Source organism: Homo sapiens, chromosome 16 (assembly GCF_000001405.40).
Source record: "Homo sapiens chromosome 16, GRCh38.p14 Primary Assembly".
Taxonomy (NCBI): domain Eukaryota; kingdom Metazoa; phylum Chordata; class Mammalia; order Primates; family Hominidae; genus Homo; species Homo sapiens.
Window position 1 is genome coordinate 30515398 of NC_000016.10, and position 19461 is coordinate 30534858.

General features: G+C 56.7%; 3 protein-coding genes across 13 annotated transcripts in view, besides 8 other annotated features; 1 reads left to right on the forward strand and 2 right to left on the reverse strand.

Moving 5' to 3' along the window:
* ITGAL (integrin subunit alpha L) overlaps positions 1–7788 on the forward strand; it is a 50444-nt gene extending 42656 nt beyond the window's left edge. For all 6 annotated transcript variants that reach the window (NM_002209.3, XM_005255313.1, XM_006721044.2 and 3 more), the window contains 6 exons: positions 1576–1689; positions 2252–2308; positions 2400–2498; positions 3227–3322; positions 4460–4570; positions 6095–7788. In NM_002209.3, coding sequence (NP_002200.2) covers positions 1576–1689; positions 2252–2308; positions 2400–2498; positions 3227–3322; positions 4460–4570; positions 6095–6268 — 651 coding nt within the window. In that variant the 3' untranslated portion in view covers positions 6269–7788. The remainder of the gene's footprint in view (positions 1–1575; positions 1690–2251; positions 2309–2399; positions 2499–3226; positions 3323–4459; positions 4571–6094) is intronic.
* An 818-nt stretch (positions 7789–8606) lies between these two features.
* On the reverse strand, positions 8607–17080 carry ZNF768 (zinc finger protein 768). 3 transcript variants are annotated; one of them, XM_017023666.2, is made up of 2 exons: positions 16882–17080; positions 8607–10654 (listed from the first exon to the last, which is right to left on the reverse strand). In XM_017023666.2, exon 2 carries the CDS (start codon positions 10647–10649, stop codon positions 9120–9122), a length of 1530 nt encoding a protein of 509 aa, XP_016879155.1. In that variant the 5' UTR covers positions 10650–10654; positions 16882–17080; the 3' UTR covers positions 8607–9119. The 3 variants fall into 3 exon arrangements, with proteins under 3 accessions (XP_016879155.1, XP_016879154.1, NP_078947.3); XM_017023665.3 differs by lacking the exon at positions 16882–17080 and adding an exon at positions 11345–11894; NM_024671.4 differs by lacking the exon at positions 16882–17080 and adding an exon at positions 10929–11169.
* Positions 10615–10674: an enhancer, noted in NCBI's record as "active region_10708". NCBI's record gives its function as "activates an Ori minimal core promoter by ATAC-STARR-seq in GM12878 lymphoblastoid cells {active_cell/tissue: GM12878}" and the evidence as "EXISTENCE:reporter gene assay evidence [ECO:0000049][PMID:35858748]".
* Positions 10875–10924: a silencer, noted in NCBI's record as "silent region_7375". NCBI's record gives its function as "represses an Ori minimal core promoter by ATAC-STARR-seq in GM12878 lymphoblastoid cells {active_cell/tissue: GM12878}" and the evidence as "EXISTENCE:reporter gene assay evidence [ECO:0000049][PMID:35858748]".
* Positions 10945–11264: a silencer, noted in NCBI's record as "silent region_7376". NCBI's record gives its function as "represses an Ori minimal core promoter by ATAC-STARR-seq in GM12878 lymphoblastoid cells {active_cell/tissue: GM12878}" and the evidence as "EXISTENCE:reporter gene assay evidence [ECO:0000049][PMID:35858748]".
* Positions 11355–12184: a silencer, noted in NCBI's record as "silent region_7377". NCBI's record gives its function as "represses an Ori minimal core promoter by ATAC-STARR-seq in GM12878 lymphoblastoid cells {active_cell/tissue: GM12878}" and the evidence as "EXISTENCE:reporter gene assay evidence [ECO:0000049][PMID:35858748]".
* Positions 12255–12554: an enhancer, noted in NCBI's record as "active region_10709". NCBI's record gives its function as "activates an Ori minimal core promoter by ATAC-STARR-seq in GM12878 lymphoblastoid cells {active_cell/tissue: GM12878}" and the evidence as "EXISTENCE:reporter gene assay evidence [ECO:0000049][PMID:35858748]".
* Positions 14970–19461, reverse strand: ZNF747 (zinc finger protein 747). Of its 4 annotated transcripts, none has more exons than NM_001305019.2 (3): positions 19054–19461; positions 18800–18913; positions 14970–17751 (listed from the first exon to the last, which is right to left on the reverse strand). In NM_001305019.2, exons 1-3 carry the CDS (start codon positions 19280–19282, stop codon positions 17102–17104), a joined length of 993 nt encoding a protein of 330 aa, NP_001291948.1. In that variant the 5' UTR covers positions 19283–19461; the 3' UTR covers positions 14970–17101. The 4 variants fall into 4 exon arrangements, with proteins under 4 accessions (NP_001291948.1, NP_001291947.1, NP_001291949.1 ...); NM_001305018.2 differs by having other exon boundaries at positions 14970–17754; NM_001305020.2 differs by having other exon boundaries at positions 18800–19461.
* Positions 17895–18406: an enhancer, noted in NCBI's record as "H3K4me1 hESC enhancer chr16:30544613-30545124 (GRCh37/hg19 assembly coordinates)". NCBI's record gives its function as "activates a minimal SCP1, AML or CMV promoter by ChIP-STARR-seq in naive H9 embryonic stem cells {active_cell/tissue: H9 hESC(naive)}" and the evidence as "EXISTENCE:reporter gene assay evidence [ECO:0000049][PMID:30033119]".
* Positions 18714–18763: an enhancer, noted in NCBI's record as "active region_10710". NCBI's record gives its function as "activates an Ori minimal core promoter by ATAC-STARR-seq in GM12878 lymphoblastoid cells {active_cell/tissue: GM12878}" and the evidence as "EXISTENCE:reporter gene assay evidence [ECO:0000049][PMID:35858748]".
* Positions 19014–19113: a silencer, noted in NCBI's record as "silent region_7378". NCBI's record gives its function as "represses an Ori minimal core promoter by ATAC-STARR-seq in GM12878 lymphoblastoid cells {active_cell/tissue: GM12878}" and the evidence as "EXISTENCE:reporter gene assay evidence [ECO:0000049][PMID:35858748]".

Here is a 19461-nt window from a genome sequence, read left to right on the forward strand (position 1 = left end):
GCCTCTTTCCAGCTCATGCCTGCAGGGGATGGACCTCCCTGGAGCCACTCTCTTCCTCTGCCACCTTCTGTGACTTCCCACTGCCTCCTTGATGCTGCTCCAACTCCTCACTCTCAAGCCTTCCAGGCCCCATAGTGTGATCTTGGGCTTCCTTTCCAGCCTCAGCTCCTGTTCTCCTTCCCAGGCACCCTCCTTCCAGCCACATCCCTCTCACCTGGTGCCATCCTGGCTCCCCACATGTCTCTTCTTGGATGCCCTCTCCCACCTTCATCTGTTAAAATCCTGTCCATCTGGTCAGGCGCGGTGGCTCACACCTGTAACCCCAGCACTTTGGGAGGCCCAGGTGGGCAGATCACCTGAGGTCAGGAGTTCAAGACCAGCCTGGCCAACATGATGAAACCCCATCTCTACTAAAAATACAAAAATTAGCTAGGTGTGGTGGTGTGTGCCTGTAGTCCCAGCTACTGGGGAGGCTGAGGCAGGAGAATCGCTTGAACCTGGAAGGTGAAGGTTGCAGCGAGCTGTGATCGTGCCATCGCACTCCAGCCTGGGTGACAGAGTGATATTCTGTCTAAAAAAAAAAAAAAAATCCTGTCCATCTTTCACAGTCAAATTCAAATACTGCCCCTGACATTTGGCCTTTTTAATTTAACTGGTATTTCAAGTGTCCACAAATGTTCGTTGAATGAATAAATGATAGAATCCTTCTAATTTGATACATTTCCCTGCTTCCTGAGACATTGTTAGTGCCACTTCTGTGTCACTTTCTTACACATATCTGAGTCTCCCAGCCTTAACACAGGTAGTTCTTTTTTTAATAAAAGGTGCTCAGAAATTTTTTTTTTTTTTTGAGACGGAGTCTCACTCTGTCGCCCAGGTTGGAGTGCAGTGGCATGATCTCGGCTCACTGCAACCTTCACCTCCTGGGTTTAAGTAATTCTCCTGCCTCAGCCTCCAGAGTACCCAGCACTGTAGGATTGTGCCACCACACCTGGCTAATTTTTGTATTTTTAGTAGAGACGGGGTTTCACCATCTTGGTCAGGCTGGTCTCAAACTCCTGACCTCAAGTGATCTGCCCACCTCAGCCTCCCAAAGTGCTGGGATTACAGGTGTGAGCCACCACACTAGGCACTGTGTCAAGCAGTAGGGGATTGGAGGTGGAGTAAGAATGGCTCCTGTCCTCAGGGAGTTCATGGTCTAGTGGAGATGCAGACATCCAAGCAGATCCTTTGCCGTCCTGCTGGGGACGCAGAGCACACTGTGGGAGCCCAGGAGGGGGAGCTGCCCTGTCCTTGGGGAGTCAGCGAAGCCTTCAGAGATAATATTAGAGCAGGCCCTTGCAGGGTGTGTGAGAGTGTGCTGGGCGGAGAAAGCTGGAAGAGCATGGAAGCCACACTGCAAGGCCCTGAGGACGGAAGCTGGCCATGCCCAGTCACTGGACACTGCCTAACCGACAAGGGCCCTGGGGACTCAGCCAATGAGGACTGGAAGAGGCGTGCAAGGGCACACAGGGTCTGGGGGGCAGCTGGGGTGGCTGGCATTCAGGGCTCTGCATCCCTTGTCCTCTGTGCCAGGTGAGGATCCAGCCTTCCATCCACGACCACAACATACCCACCCTGGAGGCTGTGGTTGGGGTGCCACAGCCTCCCAGCGAGGGGCCCATCACACACCAGTGGAGCGTGCAGATGGTGAGTGCTGCCTGTAGAGGGAGGGTCTACCCTCCTCAGGTCTTGGGGGTGAGTGCATTTGAGGGTACAGAGGGCAGGGCTTGGCCAGGTGCGGTGGCTCTGCCTCCCAAATCCCAGCACTTTGGGAGGCTGAAGTGGGAGAATCCATTGAGGCCAGGATTTTGAGACCAGCATGGGCAACATAGCACAACTCCAGTCTCTACAAACAAATTTTAAAATTATCCAGGCATGCATGGTGGCCCGTGCCCGTGGTCTCAGCTACTCAGGAGGCAGAGGCGGGAGGATCACTTGAACCTAGGAGTTTGAGGCTGCAGTGAGCTATGATGGCACCACTGCACTCCAGCCTCGGTGACAGAACAAGACCCTGTCTCTAACAAAGAAAAAAAAATCAAGGGGGCAAGGCTGGGTGTATGGAGAGTAAGGATGGATGAATTCAGGTCCTGCTGGACTCAGAGATGTCTGAACTCACCCAGGGCCAGGGCCAGGGCAGGGGAAAGCTGGGATGCCAGTGTCTTATCTGGGTTGGGGAGGCTCTAACTGAAGACCTGCCGCTTGTTCCTAGGAGCCTCCCGTGCCCTGCCACTATGAGGATCTGGAGAGGCTCCCGGATGCAGCTGAGGTATGGGCGTGTGAGCTGAGAGACGGTGGGGCTGGGCGGTACACGGGTCGGAATGAAGCCGCCCTGACCCCGCTTTCCTCATCCTTGTCAGCCTTGTCTCCCCGGAGCCCTGTTCCGCTGCCCTGTTGTCTTCAGGCAGGAGATCCTCGTCCAAGTGATCGGGACTCTGGAGCTGGTGGGAGAGATCGAGGTAGTCCCCGCTCCTAAGAGATGTGGAGCTGCTGTGGGGGCCCCAATGCCTGGGGCCGTTGTGGGTGGGCTCCCACCAGATAGTCTGCCTCCATTTTTGTTTTCCATCTTGATGAAAAATCCCATTTACACAGTCACAGGTGAAAGAGAACAATGATTTCTGTGATATTTGCAATGCTGTTTCCATGGGCCTATGGATAGTTCCTGTGTGTTCTTTATAGAAAAGCTTTCCTTACAACAATGGGGAGCGACATATTAGGGTGCCACAGTAGAGGCTGGGGCGGGGCTCAAGCCTATAATCCTAGCACTTCGGGAGGCTTAGGTGGGTGGATCACTTGAGGTCGGGAGTTCTAGACCAGCCTGGCCAACATGGTGAAACCCTGTCTGTACTAAAAATACAAAACTTTAGCCGGGCGTGGTGGCACATGCCTGTAATCCCAGCTACTTGAGAGGCTGAGGCATGAGAATCCCTTAAACCCGGGAGGCAGAGGTTGCAGTGAGCCAAGATGGCACCACTGCACTCCAGCCTGGGTGACAGAGCAAGACTCCATCTCAAAAAAAAAAAAAAAATAGAAAGAAAAGAATGCCACAATAGAGAGTTGTGTAGAGATGGGTGCACCCCCCTGGAACCCCTTCTCTGCCCCTCCCCACTGTGTTGTGGTGGGGGCAAAAGCCAGTGGGTTCTGTCCTCGTTCTCCCGGGTTCTGACGCCTTTCCCCGCTCCCACAGGCCTCTTCCATGTTCAGCCTCTGCAGCTCCCTCTCCATCTCCTTCAACAGCAGCAAGCATTTCCACCTCTATGGCAGCAACGCCTCCCTGGCCCAGGTATCTCCACCTCCTTGGAAGCCCCAGGAACAGGCAACAGAGGGAGCCCAGGAGCCCCAGGGCAGACCTAGATGTGGGAGAGCTCCTGGGCTCTGTGCGAGTCAGAACTTCCCACTGCCAGAGCCATCAGCCTGGGAGAAGCTTCTTCTCCCCTTGGTGGGCACACAACCCCAGAGTTGCCTGAGATGTAGTAGACTTATGTGTCGAGTAAAGTTCAATCGAGGCCGGGCGCAGTAGCTCACACCTGTAATCCTAGCACTTTGGGAGGTCAAGGTAGGCAGATCACATGAAGTGAGGAGTTCAAGACCAGCCTGGCCAACATGGTGAAACCCCATCTCTACAAAAATACAAAAATTAGCCGGGCATGATGGTGGGCGCCTGTAATCCCAGCTGTTCGGGAGGCTGAGGTGAGAGAATCACTTGAACCTGGGAGGCAGAGGTGGCAGTGAGCTGAGATCCCACCATTGCACTCCAACCTGGGCGACAGAGTGAGACTTCATCTCAAAAGGATCTGTCAGAGGCAGGCGTGGTGGTTCACGCCTGTACTCAGTGCCTCGGGAGGCTGAGATGGGAGGATCGTTTGAGCACAGGAGTTCAAGGCTGCAGTGAGCTATGATTATGCCACTACACTCCAGCCTGGGCAACACAGTGAGACCTTATCTCAAAAAAAAAAAAAATCAATCTGATGGCAGCTTAGCAAAGGAGTTACCAAGCCAAGTCAGACAGTGAAGAAAGAGCGCTCTAAGCAGAGGCAGTGGCAAGGCCAGGGGCCTCTGTGGTGAGTGTTGGCAGGGCAGGTTTGAAGAGCAGGAAGTTCAGTGTGGCTAACAGGCAGAGGGGAGGAGGGAAGCTGCATCTAACAGGTAAGCAAAAGCTGGATTCTGGACGGCTTTGAATGCTGAGCTGCGTGCGATTCCGGGGAAGCCATTGAAGGCCTAGGGCTGCCTAAGGTGTGTGTTGGCCAACTCATGGCAGCGACTGCAATAGGTGACGTGTTAAAGGGAGAGGGTCTGCAGCTGGAGACTCCAGGCGGGTGATGCAGTCCGGATAGGAGGAGATGGGGAATGGAACCAGGTTCACAGGGACTTTCAGGGGTGGAAAAGGCATTTTCCGGCACTCCCCTCCCCCTGCTCCCAGGTTGTCATGAAGGTTGACGTGGTGTATGAGAAGCAGATGCTCTACCTCTACGTGCTGAGCGGCATCGGGGGGCTGCTGCTGCTGCTGCTCATTTTCATAGTGCTGTACAAGGTGGGTGCCTCCGGGGGTCACAGGCATTGCTGAGACAGCCAGGCTGGGGAAGGGGATCTGGTGGGAGCCAGGGAGGAGAATACCAAGCCAGAGGGCATAAGAGCCAGGGGGCCTCAGAGCCAGGGGGCCTCAGCCTACTCCCTCCTTCAACAGAGAAGGCTACTGAGGTCCAAAGAACAAGCAAGGGCCAGGTGCAGTGGCTCATACCTGTAATCCCAGCACTTTGGAGGCCGAGGCAGGTGGATCACGTGAGCCTGGGAGTTCAAGACCCGCCTGGGCAACATGGAAAGCATCCGCCTCTACAAAAAATTTTAAAAATTAGGGGGACGTGATGCTACCCAACTGTAGTCCCAGCTACTCGGGAGGTTGAGGTGGGAGGATCCCTTGAGCTCAGGAGGTCAAGGCTGCAGTGAGCCATGATGATGCCACTGCGCTCCAGCCTGGGTGACAGAGCAAGACCTTGTCTCACACACACACAAACAGCAAGAGAGACTTTTCCACGGTCATTCAGCCCATCCCTGGCAGAGCCAGGACGAGGCGTCCTGGGAGAGGAAAAGGAAGTATGCCAAATGTGGAGGTCCTTTTGGCTGCTGGGCACTGTCCCAGGCACAGGGACACAGAGGCACATGCCACAAACATGCTCCCTGCCATTGTGGCGCTCACAGTCTAAGAGAGGACACAGGCAGAAGCAAGCAGAATGAGGGCTGCAAAGGGCCTGTGTGGCCTGGGGCCTAGAACCCAGGAGCCTCACTTAGGCTGTGAGGGCCTGGCAGGCCTCCCAGGAGAGGTGGCATTTGAGGTGGGATTTGAAGGCTGAGTAGACATTACAGATGAAGGCCGGGTACGGTGGCTCACACCTGTAATCCGAGCACTTTGGGAGGCAGAGGCAGGTGGATCACCTGAGGTCGCGAGTTCGAGACCAGCCTGACCAGCATGGAGAAACCCTGTCTCTACTAGAAATACAAAATTAGCTGGGCATGGTGGCGCATGCCTGTAATCCCAGCTGCTCAGGAGGCTGAGGCAGGAGAATTTCTTGAACCTGGGAGGCGGAGCTTGCGGTGAGCCAAGATGGTGCCATTGCACTCCAGCCTGGGCAACAAGAGCAAAACTCCATCTCAAAAATAAAATAAAATAAATAAAATAAAATAAAGTGTTCTCGCTGGGCTCGGGGACTCATGCCTGTAATCCCAGCACTTTGGGAGGCCAAGGAGGGCAGATCACTTGAGGTCAGGAGTTCAAGACCAGCCTGGCCAACATGGTGAAACCCTGTCTCTACTAAAAATACAAAAATTAGCCGGGCGTGGTGGCAGATGCCTGTAATCCCAGCTACTGAGGAGGCTGAGGCAAGAGAATTGCTTAAGTCTGGGAGGCAGAGGTTGCAGTGAGCCGAGATCGCACCACTGCACTCCAGCCTGGGCAACACAGTGAGACTCCATCTCAAAAAAAAAAAAAGTGTTCTCACATTTTCTTGGGGCCAAAGTGCTCAGTGAATTCTTTGCTCGTTCAAATTTTGTCTTTGTACAGGTTGGTTTCTTCAAACGGAACCTGAAGGAGAAGATGGAGGCTGGCAGAGGTGTCCCGAATGGAATCCCTGCAGAAGACTCTGAGCAGCTGGCATCTGGGCAAGAGGCTGGGGATCCCGGCTGCCTGAAGCCCCTCCATGAGAAGGACTCTGAGAGTGGTGGTGGCAAGGACTGAGTCCAGGCCTGTGAGGTGCAGAGTGCCCAGAACTGGACTCAGGATGCCCAGGGCCACTCTGCCTCTGCCTGCATTCTGCCGTGTGCCCTCGGGCGAGTCACTGCCTCTCCCTGGCCCTCAGTTTCCCTATCTCGAACATGGAACTCATTCCTGCCTGTCTCCTTTGCAGGCTCATAGGGAAGACCTGCTGAGGGACCAGCCAAGAGGGCTGCAAAAGTGAGGGCTTGTCATTACCAGACGGTTCACCAGCCTCTCTTGGTTTCCTTCCTTGGAAGAGAATGTCTGATCTAAATGTGGAGAAACTGTAGTCTCAGGACCTAGGGATGTTCTGGCCCTCACCCCTGCCCTGGGATGTCCACAGATGCCTCCACCCCCCAGAACCTGTCCTTGCACACTCCCCTGCACTGGAGTCCAGTCTCTTCTGCTGGCAGAAAGCAAATGTGACCTGTGTCACTACGTGACTGTGGCACACGCCTTGTTCTTGGCCAAAGACCAAATTCCTTGGCATGCCTTCCAGCACCCTGCAAAATGAGACCCTCGTGGCCTTCCCCAGCCTCTTCTAGAGCCGTGATGCCTCCCTGTTGAAGCTCTGGTGACACCAGCCTTTCTCCCAGGCCAGGCTCCTTCCTGTCTTCCTGCATTCACCCAGACAGCTCCCTCTGCCTGAACCTTCCATCTCGCCACCCCTCCTTCCTTGACCAGCAGATCCCAGCTCACGTCACACTTGGTTGGGTCCTCACATCTTTCACACTTCCACCAGCCTGCACTACTCCCTCAAAGCACACGTCATGTTTCTTCATCCGGCAGCCTGGATGTTTTTTCCCTGTTTAATGATTGACGTACTTAGCAGCTATCTCTCAGTGAACTGTGAGGGTAAAGGCTATACTTGTCTTGTTCACCTTGGGATGATGCCTCATGATATGTCAGGGCGTGGGACATCTAGTAGGTGCTTGACATAATTTCACTGAATTAATGACAGAGCCAGTGGGAAGATACAGAAAAAGAGGGGCTGGGCTGGGCGCGGTGGTTCACGCCTGTAATCCCAGCACTTTGGGAGGCCAAGGAGGGTGGATCACCTGAGGTCAGGAGTTAGAGGCCAGCCTGGCGAAACCCCATCTCTACTAAAAATACAAAATCCAGGCGTGGTGGCACACACCTGTAGTCCCAGCTACTCAGGAGGTTGAGGTAGGAGAATTGCTTGAACCTGGGAGGTGGAGGTTGCAGTGAGCCAAGATTGCGCCATTGCACTCCAGCCTGGGCAACACAGCGAGACTCCGTCTCAAGGAAAAAATAAAAATAAAAAGCGGGCACGGGCCCGTGACATCCCCACCCTTGGAGGCTGTCTTCTCAGGCTCTGCCCTGCCCTAGCTCCACACCCTCTCCCAGGACCCATCACGCCTGTGCAGTGGCCCCCACAGAAAGACTGAGCTCAAGGTGGGAACCACGTCTGCTAACTTGGAGCCCCAGTGCCAAGCACAGTGCCTGCATGTATTTATCCAATAAATGTGAAATTCTGTCCAGTTTTGTGGTGGTTTTGTGCTGGTGCAATATTGCAGCCCTACTCAAGTGAACATTTCTGGCTGGGCTCTGTGGCTCACAACTGTATTCTCAGCACTTTGGAAACCCAAGGCAGGAGGATCCTTTGAGGCCAGGAGTTTGAGACCAACCTGGGCAACATAGCAAACCCTGTCTCTACAAAAAATTAAAATATAAAAACTTATTTGAGCCTGGTTGCACGTACCTGTAGTCCCAGCTACTCAGGAGGCTGAGACAGAAGGATCACGTGAGCACAGGAGGTCAAGGCTGCAGTGAGCGATGGTCGCATCACTGCAATCCAGCCTGGGCCACAGAGCAAGATACTGCCTTCAAAATTAAAAAAAAAGAAAAACAGGCCAGGCGCAGTGGCTCACACCTCTAATCCCAGCACTCTGGGAGGCTGAGGCAGGCAGATCACGTGAGGTCAGGAGTTCGAGACCAGCCTGGCCAACATGGTGAAAATTAGCCAGGTGTGGTGTCGGGCGCCTGTAATCCCAGATACTTGGGAGGCTGAGGCAGGAGAATCACTTGAACCCAGGAGGCAGAGGTTGCGGTGAGTCGAGACCACACCATTGCACTCCAGCCTGGGTGACAGCGTAAGACTCCGTCTCAAAAAAAAGAAAAAAAAAAAAAGAAACAAATAGCACTTCCAGCCAGGTGCGGTGGCCTGCTGCAACACAGCAAGACCCGCTTTCTAACAGCAGCAACAGCAAAGCACTTCCCGGATAAGGCCCTAGGCTACTACTGGTGTCTCCCACTTCCCAGGGCGCTGTGCACGCACACATTTTAAGGACAAGTCTCGTTTACCACATAAAGTTTTTATTGAACTCAAACTCAGGGGCTCCAAAGCCTGAGGAAGAAGAGGGAGGCTGGGGTTTGCACGCAGAGGCCCAGGCCCCACCCCGGGGCCCCACTCCCCACCCCACCTACCTTTTACCCGCTCCTGACTCAACGAGAGTTTCAGCAGCTACCAATCTAAGCTAACCCACTCTAATTAGGTAATCCCCTGCCCTCCCCCCTCCCTGCTCTAGCAGTTGCCAAGCCAGGCACCCACCAAGGAGCCGCGGCTGAGGCCAGCCCTCCGCTGACCTCTCTCCATTTCTCCCAGGGCCTCCCGCTGCCGGCCTGGCCTCCCTCCAACCCACTTCCCACAAGTCTCCAGGGCATGTCACTTCCTCCACCCTGGTTCTCTTCTTCCAGCATCCTCAGCTCCTCCATTCTCCTGCGGCTTCTCCACTATCCTCCCTAAAGGTTCCTCTAGCTCCCTGGCCCCTTATCTTCTGCCCACACCTCCCACCCCTGCTGGGGCCCCAGGTCAGCGCCGGCCCGCCGCGTGGGTCCGCTGGTGGCGGATGAGGTCGGAGCTCTGGGAGAAGGCCTTTCCGCAGTCATCGCACTTGTAAGGCCGCTCGCCACTGTGGACCCGGTGATGCTGCAGAAGCGTGGAGGAGCGGCAGAAGCCCTTGCCGCACACGGCGCACCTGTAGGGCCGCTCGCCCGTGTGGGAGCGCTGGTGCTGGATGAGAGTGGAGGAGCGATTGAAGGTCTTGCCGCAGTCGGGGCAGCTGTAGGTGCGGCCTGGCAGGTGGGTGCGGGCGTGGATGGCCAGCACCGAGCTCTGGCCAAAGCGCTTGCCGCACTCAGGGCACTTGAAGGGCTTCTCCCGGGCGTGGCTGCGGGCATGGGGGATAAGGGCCGACCGCTGGGAGAAGCTCTTGCCGCAGATGCCACAGCTGAAGGGCCTCTGACCGGTGTGCACCCTCTGATGGCTGCGCAGGGACGAGTTCTGGCTATAGCACTTGCCGCACTCGGTGCAGCTGTAGGGCCGCTCGTGGCTGTGGGTGCGCTGGTGTCGCAGGAGGTAGGAGCTGTCGCCGAAGGCCTTGCCACAATGTGGGCACTTGTAGGGCTTCTGGCCAGAGTGAGTGCGCTGGTGGCGAAGCAGGTAAGAGCTGTCGGCGAAGGCCTTGCCGCAACGGGGACATTTGTAGGGCCGCTCGCCAGTGTGGGTGCGCTGGTGTTTGATGAGGTCAGAGCTCTGGGAGAAGGCCTTGCTGCAGACCTCACATTTGTAGGGCTTCTCACCGGTGTGGATGCGCTGGTGCTGGATCAGGGTGGAGCCCCGCCCGAAGCTCTTCCCGCAGATGCCACAGATGTTAGGCCGAGGGCCCTGCCCACCCCTGGCCCGGCCACCCCGCCGACCTGGACCTCGAAGGGCTCCTGTGAGACCCAGGGGATTCTGAAGCATCTCAAACTGCGGTGTAGACAGCAGGGCCCCTGTGGGCATCTCAAAAGGTGGCCCTATGGGCAGGTCCCCTGTGGGCTGCTCCCCAAACCCCTGAGTGAAGGAGTCCAGGGGGTGAACTCCTACGGAGATATTCAAAGGACTCTTTTCCTCGGGGTTCAGAAGCATCTCCGCACCTTCCTGGAATTTGGAACTTTGAGCTTCAAATTCTGGGCTTTGGGTTTTGAGCTCAGTGTTCTGGGATTCATATCTAGAGCTCTCAGATTCATAGCCAGGGCTCCGGGGTTCATACCCGGGGCTCCGAGGTTCATAGCCAGGGCTTTGGGGTTCATACCTAGGGCTCTGGGATTCAAACTCAGGGCTCTGAGAATCTGATTCAGGGCTTCTGGGTGCAAACTCAGGGCTTGGGGGCACAAGCCCAGGGCTTCGGGACTCAAACCCCGGGCTTTCAGGCTCAAATCTGGGGCTTTGGGGTTCAAACTCTGGGCTTTGTGGCTCAAACCCAGGGCTCTGGGGTTCAAGCCCAAATGGTATCTCTTCGACTTCATAGTCCCCACTGCCTTCTTGCTGAGAAATTTCCTCTTCCTCATTCTCACTCATGTTGCCTGCAGGATGAGAGAATCCAGATCGTGTGAGACCTGGAAGGTCATTTGGTCCATTAGCAACCACACACCTCCCACCTCACATGCAGGGTCGCTGGCCCCTAGACAAGTGCTGAAATTCCCACGCCCCCCTCAGCTGACCCAAGACACCCCAGTCCCCGCCGGCCCCTCCTTCGAGTCCCAGGTGTCCCAGCCCCGGGCCCTCGCTCCCTCCCTGGAGCCACAGCCCCTTCTCCTGCGCGCAAGTCCACTCCTCGGACGGGCGCTCCCTCCTCACCTCTGAGGTACCCTTCGGGGCTCCTCATTTCGTCAGAACTCTGCACATCCTGGGGCTCGAGGCCCCACGGCAACGCCTCCCGCTCCATCCCCGCGGGCTCCCAGTGCAGCGGCGGCGGCGATGGCGGCCGATCCCGCGACCCGGCCTCGGTTGCCCCGAGCCGCGGGCCCCCGCCTCCCGCCCGCTCAGCGCCGCCCAGGGGACTCGGCGGCCCAGCCCGGGCCCCCGAGGCCGGACGTCTTGACCCCGCGCCTCTCCAGCGCGCCGGGCCCCTCCCCTGCCCGCGGCCCCGCCCCCTCCCAAGGTCTCGGCCTCCCCGTGGCCCTCACTGGCCCCCGCGCGTCGCGGCCTCGGGGATGAGGGGCTTCGCGACTACCCCGGCGGCCCCCGGCCCCCGCTCCCGCCCGAGCCCCCACCTTCTGGACCCCGGCCCCGGGCTGGGCTGCACTGTCCAACGGCCGCCCAGCACCCCCCCACCCTCCCCCGCACAGGAAGTGTCCGTCCGCGGCCAGGTCCCCCCGCCGGCTCGCGCCGCGGCCTCTCTAGGAGCCGCTGGAGGTGGAAACTCGTTGGCATTAACCCTGGGCTGGAGGGGCCCGGCCACGGGGTGGGTGAGGACCGGACGCCCCGGAGCCCGCGGGGCTACCGGGGCAGTGTGTGTGCCTATGTTCTAGGTCTCCGTCCCTCCAGAGGCCCGTCTGTCCATCTCCCGGGCCCCGCGTCGTCGGTGCGTGTGGCCAAGGGCGAGGCGACAAGCGAGACCAAGGTCAGCGAGAAGGAGCGACGCTTCCCGGCGCCAGCGGGGGCGGTGTCTCGCTCCCTCCCCTCCCGGGCCTCCGGGTCAGCTCCGGCAGCGCCTCGGGAACCGGGACGGACTCCCCTTGGCCTCGCCGAGGTCCTTGAGCCTGGGACCCCCTCCAGGAACTCCGCTCCCCGGCACCTGCGCGCGCCCGCTCCCGTTCCTCCGGCCCCCACCCAGCTCGGCTCCCCTGATCCTCCTCCTCCCTCCTCCCTCCTCGAGGGCTAGGATAGTTGCCAAGGAGACAGCCCCGCCCCGGCTCCCAGAGGCACAGCTTCTCCGCCCCAGGAAGCCCGGCGGTTGGCCGATGGGGCTCGTGCTCTAGCCGCCCCGCCTCCTCCAACCCCGCGGACGGCTGGGCGTTAATGGTCGCCAGGGAACGCCAGGCGCCTTCCTGATTGGCCGGGAGTGCTGTGGTCGGGTCCGCCTCCCCTGTCGGCCAGAAGCGCCTTCAGGAGGTAGTGGGAGGGAGGTGCCAGGCATCTCCCCTCCAGCCCGGCCTGTGCCATCAAAACTTTTCCCGCCCCCACTTAGCCTCCATTATGTTTTATGAAAGCCAGAAGATCTGAGGACAGACACCCTTCCTCCTCGTCAGCCTCACACCCCTTGCCTCTCCCCTCCACCTTCCCCAGCGCCTGAGTTTAACTCAATCCCTGGCAGCCTTAGTCCCTGTTGTTAGATTTCCTCACAGGGAGGCAGGATTCCTTCCAGGTGAGGGTGATACAAAGGAGAATTGGACTGAGAGAACCATCTGGCCTTCGAGGCATCTAACAACTCTCCAGTCTTGTCTGACTCGAATGGAGTCTTGCAGAGGAAGGGAACCTGAGAAACACTGCCTCGGGCGCAGCTTTGAATTGAGGAAGTGAGCCTGGACAGACAACTTAATATCATCCAGTTCTTGTCTTTTTTTTCTACGCTTCGTGCTGAAACAAGTTTGGCAGCGTTCTTGACAGTTAACGAGCCCGATGCCCCTGTGTGAGCAGGAGCCATGGATCGTGTTTTCTTGTCGCCTACCCAGACAAATGAAGGGAAGAGAATGTTTGGGAGGAAGGATGGCCTCTCCTTCCTGAAAAGAGGTGAGAACAAGAACTTGAAGAATGCCAAGTGGTAAAAAGTGGAGAGAAACTATCTAAATAAAGGCTTACAGGTGGGGCGCACTGGCTCATGTCTGTAATCCCAGCACTTTTGGGAGGCCAAGGCAGGTGGATCACGAGGTCAGGAGTTCAAGACCAGCCTGGCCAAGATGGTGAAACCCCGTCTCTACTAAAAAAATACAAAAATTAGCCAGGCACGGTGGTGGGCACCTGTAATCCCAGCTACTTGGGAGGCTGAGGCAGGAGAATCACTTGAACCCGGGAGGCGGAGGTTGCAGTAAGCCGAGATCTCGCCACTGCACTCTAGTCTGGGTGACAGAGCAAGACTCCGTCTCAAATAATAATAATAAAGGCTTACAAATAAAATCACAAGAGCTTATGCCACGAATGAAGCGGGGAAAACTTTCTGCCCTCCAGAGAAACAGCTTCCAGCCCCATAGCTCTCTCCCATCCCAATGTATGTTTGTCTTGAAACCTTTGCTAAGAATGGCTTACATGGTCCAGCACTAGAGCCCACAGTCAAACAGCCTACAAGAGGACCAGTTTTGGGAAGAGCTGGACATGGGGTACCCTCTGGTCATCCCCAAAGCACTCACACAGGTAGGAAACAAGTCTCCTTCACAAGACACTTTTCTCTGACATCCAACTTGCTGATCCACCAAAATTCACACAGGAGAGCAGCCACACCCTAAAAATGGGTGGCGAGACCTCCAGCCACAGCTCTGACACCGTACACTGCCTGCACTCTTATCATGAGCCACAAGTCCCAGGTGTAGCAGAAGCTGGGCCAAGACTTCATGCTGCCCAGGCACCCGCATTTCCAAGTGCAAATTCAGCCTCACTGGCACCTGGAGTAAGAGTGGCTCACTTCCAGCCAGCCTCCTCTAGGACCAGGGTGCCATCTATGCACAGGGACTTCACAAGGAAGCCAGCCTCCACCTGACACACAGCCACAGCAGTGAGAGGCTCCAAGCCCAGGAAAGCCTCTGATAAGGGCTGCATCTTGACCCAACACCAGCTAATCCAAGGCAGGAGAAACTTGGGGAGTCCACTGGCATTGTCCTGCCTCTGCATCCATGAGGATGAGCCCTGTGCATGTCCTGAGTCAGGTGGTCACTTTGTTCACAGCATTATCTCCTGGCATGCCCAGCACTAGGGCAGAGCCATTCAGTGTGCAGCCAAGGCTTATGGTCAGCCAACCTGGCCAACACTGCAGGCCAGAGAGCCTTCACAGACGTTCTCAGTGAGAGGAGCTTCCGTATGCACTGCTCCCTTCCCTCATGCAAAGGACAAGCCCTCTTAAAGCCCTTCCATCCGATGCTAGAGGAGATGCCCCAGTGTATTGAACATGATCCTAAGTACCCAGGAAGACAGCAGCCACGGCACAGGGCCCTTTGGAAAGAACAAAGAAATGGAGGTCTTTGTGTATGCCTGACATTGGGGACAGGCCCTGGGACCAACCACTACTCTTGCAAAACTAAGAGCAGTTTGAAAATAATGTTTTGTTCCCAGCCGTGGTTCTCTCAAACTTTCACAGCCATAAAATTCTATCCCTGGAGATTCTGATTCAATAGATGAGGAACTGGGCCCAGGGAGTAGCTAGTTTTTTTTTTTTTTTTTTTTGAGACAGAGTCTCGCTCTGTCACCCAGGCTGGAGTGCAGTGGTGCTATCTCTGCTCAGTGCAACCTCTGCCTCCTGAGTTCAAGCGATTCTCCTGCCTCACCCTCCTGAGTAGCTGGGACTATAGGCACGTGCCACCATGTCAGGCTAATTTTTTTAAAATGTATCCTTAGTAGAGACGGGGTTTCACCATGTTAGCCAGGATGGTCTCGGTCTCCTGACCTTGCGATCCGCCCGCCTCAGCCTCCCAAAATGCTGGGATTACAGGTGTGAGCCACCACGCCCGGCCGAGAATAGCTACATTTTTAAAAGATACTTAGCCTGGCCCTACCTCTAGGTGGAAATATCTGTGCCACCAACTGAGGAGCTGAGAATGGGGTGGGGCTAAGGCTTAAGGGTTTCACGACACTAAAAAAAATTGACGAAATGCTGGAAGGTTGGGTCATGAGGGCAGGAAGCAGAGGAGTTGGAGCCTGGTTTCTGGGCCATAAGTAAACTTTACAAACTTCAAAGCTCTCAGAGACCTCTAGGTAATAATCACGGCATCTTTAATTGGCAAACTCAGGGCCAAGATCTATCTGGCTGTCAGTCTGGGCTGAGAACTGGTGTTGCAAGCTGGGCTTTCCCCAGGCTGTGTTGAGGGTTAGGGGAGGGGACTGAGATGTACACTGGAAATTAAAACCTGGTACAAAGGTATCTCCTACTGCCAAGGTTCCTCTTCTCACCCCATGTGCCCCTGTGATAAAGTGACACACGAGTCAACCCGCCCCAGAAAAGCTGAGGGAGAGAGAGACCACGGTGGGATTGGATTGGAGATGAGGTTCGAATAAAGTCAGTTCATTACTTGACACCCGAACAGTGTCTTTTCTCCAAAACTTCTACCTCCTTTCAGGCTGATAAATCTGGTTCCTTCCTCCCTGGGTAGGCCAGACACAGGGCTGAGCTGGGTGACAGGTGAGGGCGCACAGGCCAGCAGAGGTCACAGGCCCTTGCTCTCCTTGGGCAGGTGTTGTCCTGACCAGAGGCAGGGCAGGGGCTGCCCGTGGCTGGACTCTGCCCACAAAGGAATTAGTGGTAGCTGGATAATGGAGTCGTGAAGTGCTGGAGGGATTCCGTGTAGAACTTGGGGATACAGATGGGTACGGTTGCCACTGGCTACAAATCTAACACCAGGTGTTCCTGGCCTAGCCCCCTCTGCCCATGATGGCACATACTTAAAGACAGCAAAGATGGTGCGTACCTAAAGACAGGAAAGATGCAAGGACTGTTTTGACACAGACATGGGTTCAAGAAATACTTCCCTTTCTTCTTTGCTGTACTTTAAGATAAACACCAAAAACACTAAAAGCAAGCCATGATGAATGGCTACTCATGCTTGGTCAGGAGCTGATGGGATGAGTGGCCGGACCACAGTAAGTTGGGAGTTCTGGCTCCGGCCCAACTCCCAACAACTGCGACTTTCTGAGAGCCTAGGTGAACTTGCGAAATCTTTGGATTTTTCAAGAGATGCCAGAAACCTGGATTTTGGTGCAAAATATCCCTTTAGATCTTCATCACTAATTCTTATCACTTAAAAACACTGCCTGGGCCCAAATCAATACAGCAACTGCAGGCGAGATCCAATACAGGGTCACTGGTTTTTTAGGTTGTGCAGCAAAAAGACAATGAAGGCCAGTGCAGTGGCTCCCCTGTAATCCCAGCACTTTGGGAGGCCAAGGTGGGCGAATTGCTTGAACCGAGGAGTTTGAGACCAGCCTGATCAACATAGTGGGAACCCCATCTCTGCAAAAAAATTTAAAAATTAGCCAGGCATAGTGTTGCCCACCTGTAGTCACAGCCATCTGAGAGGCTGGGGCAGGAGGATTCCTTGAGCCCAGCAGGTCTAGGCTGCAGTGAGCCCAGTTCACACCACTGCATTCCAGCCTGGGTGAGGAGCAAGATGCTGTCTTAATAAGTAAATAAATAAACAAAAAAAACAGACAATGGGTATTGTCTTGTGGGAAGGTCAAAGAATAAAAAAGAAAAGGCCAGGTGAGGTGGCTCACGCCTGTAATCCCAGCACTTTGGGAGGCAGAGGTGGGTGGATCACCTGAGGGCAGGAGTTCGAGACCAGCCTAGCCAACATGGTGAAACCCCATCTCTACTAAAAATACAAAAAGTTAGCCGGGCATAGTGGCAGGTGCCTGTAATTCCAGCTACTTGGGTGGCTGAGGCAGGAGAATCGCTTGACTCCAGGAGGTGGAAGTTGCAGTGAGTCGAGATCGCACCATTGCACTCCAGCCTGGGCAACAAGAGCAAAACTCCGTCTCAAAAAATTAAAAAAGTAAAAAGAAAAAGACAACAGAGAAAACAAGGTTCTTCTCTACCTCAATCCTCTTAGCATCTCTGGGAGGAGAAACAGCTTTTGCTTCCCTGTATGGAGGTCTGGGGGGTTCTCACCTCAGCCCTGCCTCAGCAAAGGGGGCCTTGGAGAGCCCAGGGCAGCGGGGAGCAAGGTGCTGGCAGAAGAGGCTGCTGAGAGCCCAAGATCAGACTGTCCGCACCCCAGGCCAGCTCTTGCGGTGGATTCTGGGACCTCCCTGCAGGCCGCTGCAGAGGTTCGGGCCCCTGAGCCCATCTCGGGCCGCCCACAATGTCTAGATGGTCACTTTTTAGGCCGTCACCCACATTCCTGGAATATCTCTGGATACAGCTGGAAGCCCACAGGCGGGTCCAGGTCCCCGCGGACAGGAGTCAGGGTCACAGACAGCCCCCCAGGGCGCCGGCCCCTACGCCCCTCGCCCCCGGGCCGATGGACCCATTGGTGCTTGGCCATGCCGGTCTTCAGGCCGAAGCAGCGGCCACACTGCGGGCAGCGGTAGGGCTTCTCGCCAGTGTGAACGCGCAGGTGAGAAGTCAGCGCCGTGCGGCGCATGAAGGCCCGACCACACTCGGGACAGCGGTGGGGCCGCTCCCCACGATGGATGGCCCGGTGTTTGCTCAGGGAGGAAGCGTGGCCGAAGCCCTTGCCGCAGTCTGCGCAGTGGAAGGGCTTCTCGCCCCTGTGGCTGTAAATGTGCTCCACCAGTGTGGAGCGCCAGGCGAAGCTCTTCCCGCACACGTAGCAGCCGTGACGCTGGTCAGCTCGGGGGACAGGGGGGTGGGCAAAAAAGCGGGGGCGACTCCGGCGCCGGGCCTTGGACAGCTGCTCCAACCCGGCAAAGGGGGCTTGGGGAGCCTTCAGCCCAGGAGACCCGGCGGCCACAGGGTCGGGCTTCTCCAGGGCTCCCGTCCCTTCCCTTTGTCTTTCCTCTTCCTTGTTTCTGGAATCTGCTGAAAGATAAGGAGGCGAGAGTTCAGGCTTGGCTCATCCTGGTCATTGAATCCCACAGCCCGCGTGGACAGGGACAGGCCTGCTGGACCCCCGACTGCTCCTAGGAGATGGAGGAGTGACACCTGTTCCTCGGCTGCAGAGCCAGACAGAGCCTGGAGGGAGGGAACAGTCCATTCCGCCTCCGGGCTGGGGAAATGTCACCGCGGGGGAAGGGCAGAGATGACGTGAACATCTGGGCCTGATCTGGAATAAGAAGCGGACACCTGGGGATATTCCAGGCAGAAGGAACAGCACCAAGAAAGGCAGAACCAGGAGGGCATGGCCAAGTTCAGTGGGGCTGGATACTCTGCAAAAGCTGAGGCAAGAACTAAAGGAAGGAAATGGGAGGGCGGGATGTGGGGGCATAGGAACCATAGTGCAGGAAAACGACTGGAGCGGGTCATGATGTGGAGGTAGAGTCAACAGAACCTAGAGGCCGGGTGCAGTGGCTCATGCCTGTAATCCCAGTGCTTTGGGAGGCCGAGATAGAGGATCGCTAGAGTTCGAGACCAGCTCGGGCAACACACCAAGACCTCTACCTCTTTAAAATTTTTTTAATTAAAAAAAAAAAAAAAAAACCAGCCAGGCGTGGTGGCGAGTGCCTTTACAGTGTTAGGTACTCTGGAGGCCCACGCGGGAGGATTGGTTGAGCCGATTGCTTGAGCCCGGGAGTTCAAGACTGCAGTGAGCTATGATGGCGCCACTGCACCTCAGCCTGGGCAACAGAGACCCTGTCTCTAAAACAAAACAAAACAAAAAAGTCCCCGGAGTGTAGTGACCACGCAGAGGTGAGGACTCAGGGGCGGGTATGGCAGGGCCAGAGCCCCCATCACAGCCCCTTTCTAGGCTGCATCCCGGAGCCAGGCAGGGGCTCAGCCTCCTGGCCGCAGTTGAGGAGGCAGTTCAGAGAGGAAACTGCTAAGCAGGTAGCTGGAGGTGGCAGAGGGTACCGGGATGGGACAGGAACAGAGAAGTCCCCATGGGACTGAGCACCCGATACTCCACCTGGGTCCGCTTCTGTCGGACACTTCGCCACCTCCGGATCCTGGGCAGCCGGATCCCACAGTTCGGCCTTCTCCTCCACCCAGGAGATGAGCGCCGGCTTGCTGCCTCCGACTCCTGGGGGAGAAGAACGCAAACCCCACGCTGCGAGGAGGCCGCCTGCCCGGCCCCGGGGCCCCCAACTCCACACGCAGCTCCCAGAGGCGCGGCAGGGCCTGTGGAGGCGCAGGGCCCAGGCAAGCAGGTGGGGCTCTCACCGAGCGCGCCCAGGTGGCCGTAGGTCTCCCGCATCACGTCCCGGTACAGGGCCCTCTGCGCGGGCCGCAGGCAGCCCCACTCCTCCCGGGAGAAGTACACGGCCACGTCGGCGAAGCTCACGGCCCCGGGCTTTCTCCACTCGGATCCCGCCCCGTTTGGGTCCCGGGGAGGGAGCGGGGCCAGAGGCGGCGCCATGGGGACTGTCAGCCCCAGCGACGGATCGGTCATCTCCCCTGGCCAGGCCTGGGCATGCGGAACCTCCCGCGCCCGAGAACACTTCCCCGGCCCGGTACCAAGGGAAGGAGGGACGTCAGTAGAGCCCCCGAAGGCCCACTAGAGGGGATGGAAACTAAGGGCCGATGGCTGCGAGTCCATGGTCAGAACTGGACGATGTCTTCAAATAAAAC

Coding starts and splice junctions, on each gene's coding strand:
- ZNF768 (XM_017023665.3), bottom strand. CDS start 11,504: ATGCCAACGAGTTTCCACCTCCAGCGGCTCCTAGAGAGGCCGCGGCGC. Junction 10,655..11,344: donor CCGGGGCCGGGGTCCAGAAG/GTGGGGGCTCGG, acceptor CTCATCCTGCAG/GCAACATGAGTGAGAATGAG.
- ZNF747 (NM_001305018.2), bottom strand. CDS start 19,282: ATGACCGATCCGTCGCTGGGGCTGACAGTCCCCATGGCGCCGCCTCTG. Junction 18,914..19,053: donor CGGCCACCTGGGCGCGCTCG/GTGAGAGCCCCA, acceptor CTTCTCCCCCAG/GAGTCGGAGGCAGCAAGCCG. Junction 17,755..18,799: donor TCCGACAGAAGCGGACCCAG/GTGGAGTATCGG, acceptor CTTATCTTTCAG/CAGATTCCAGAAACAAGGAA.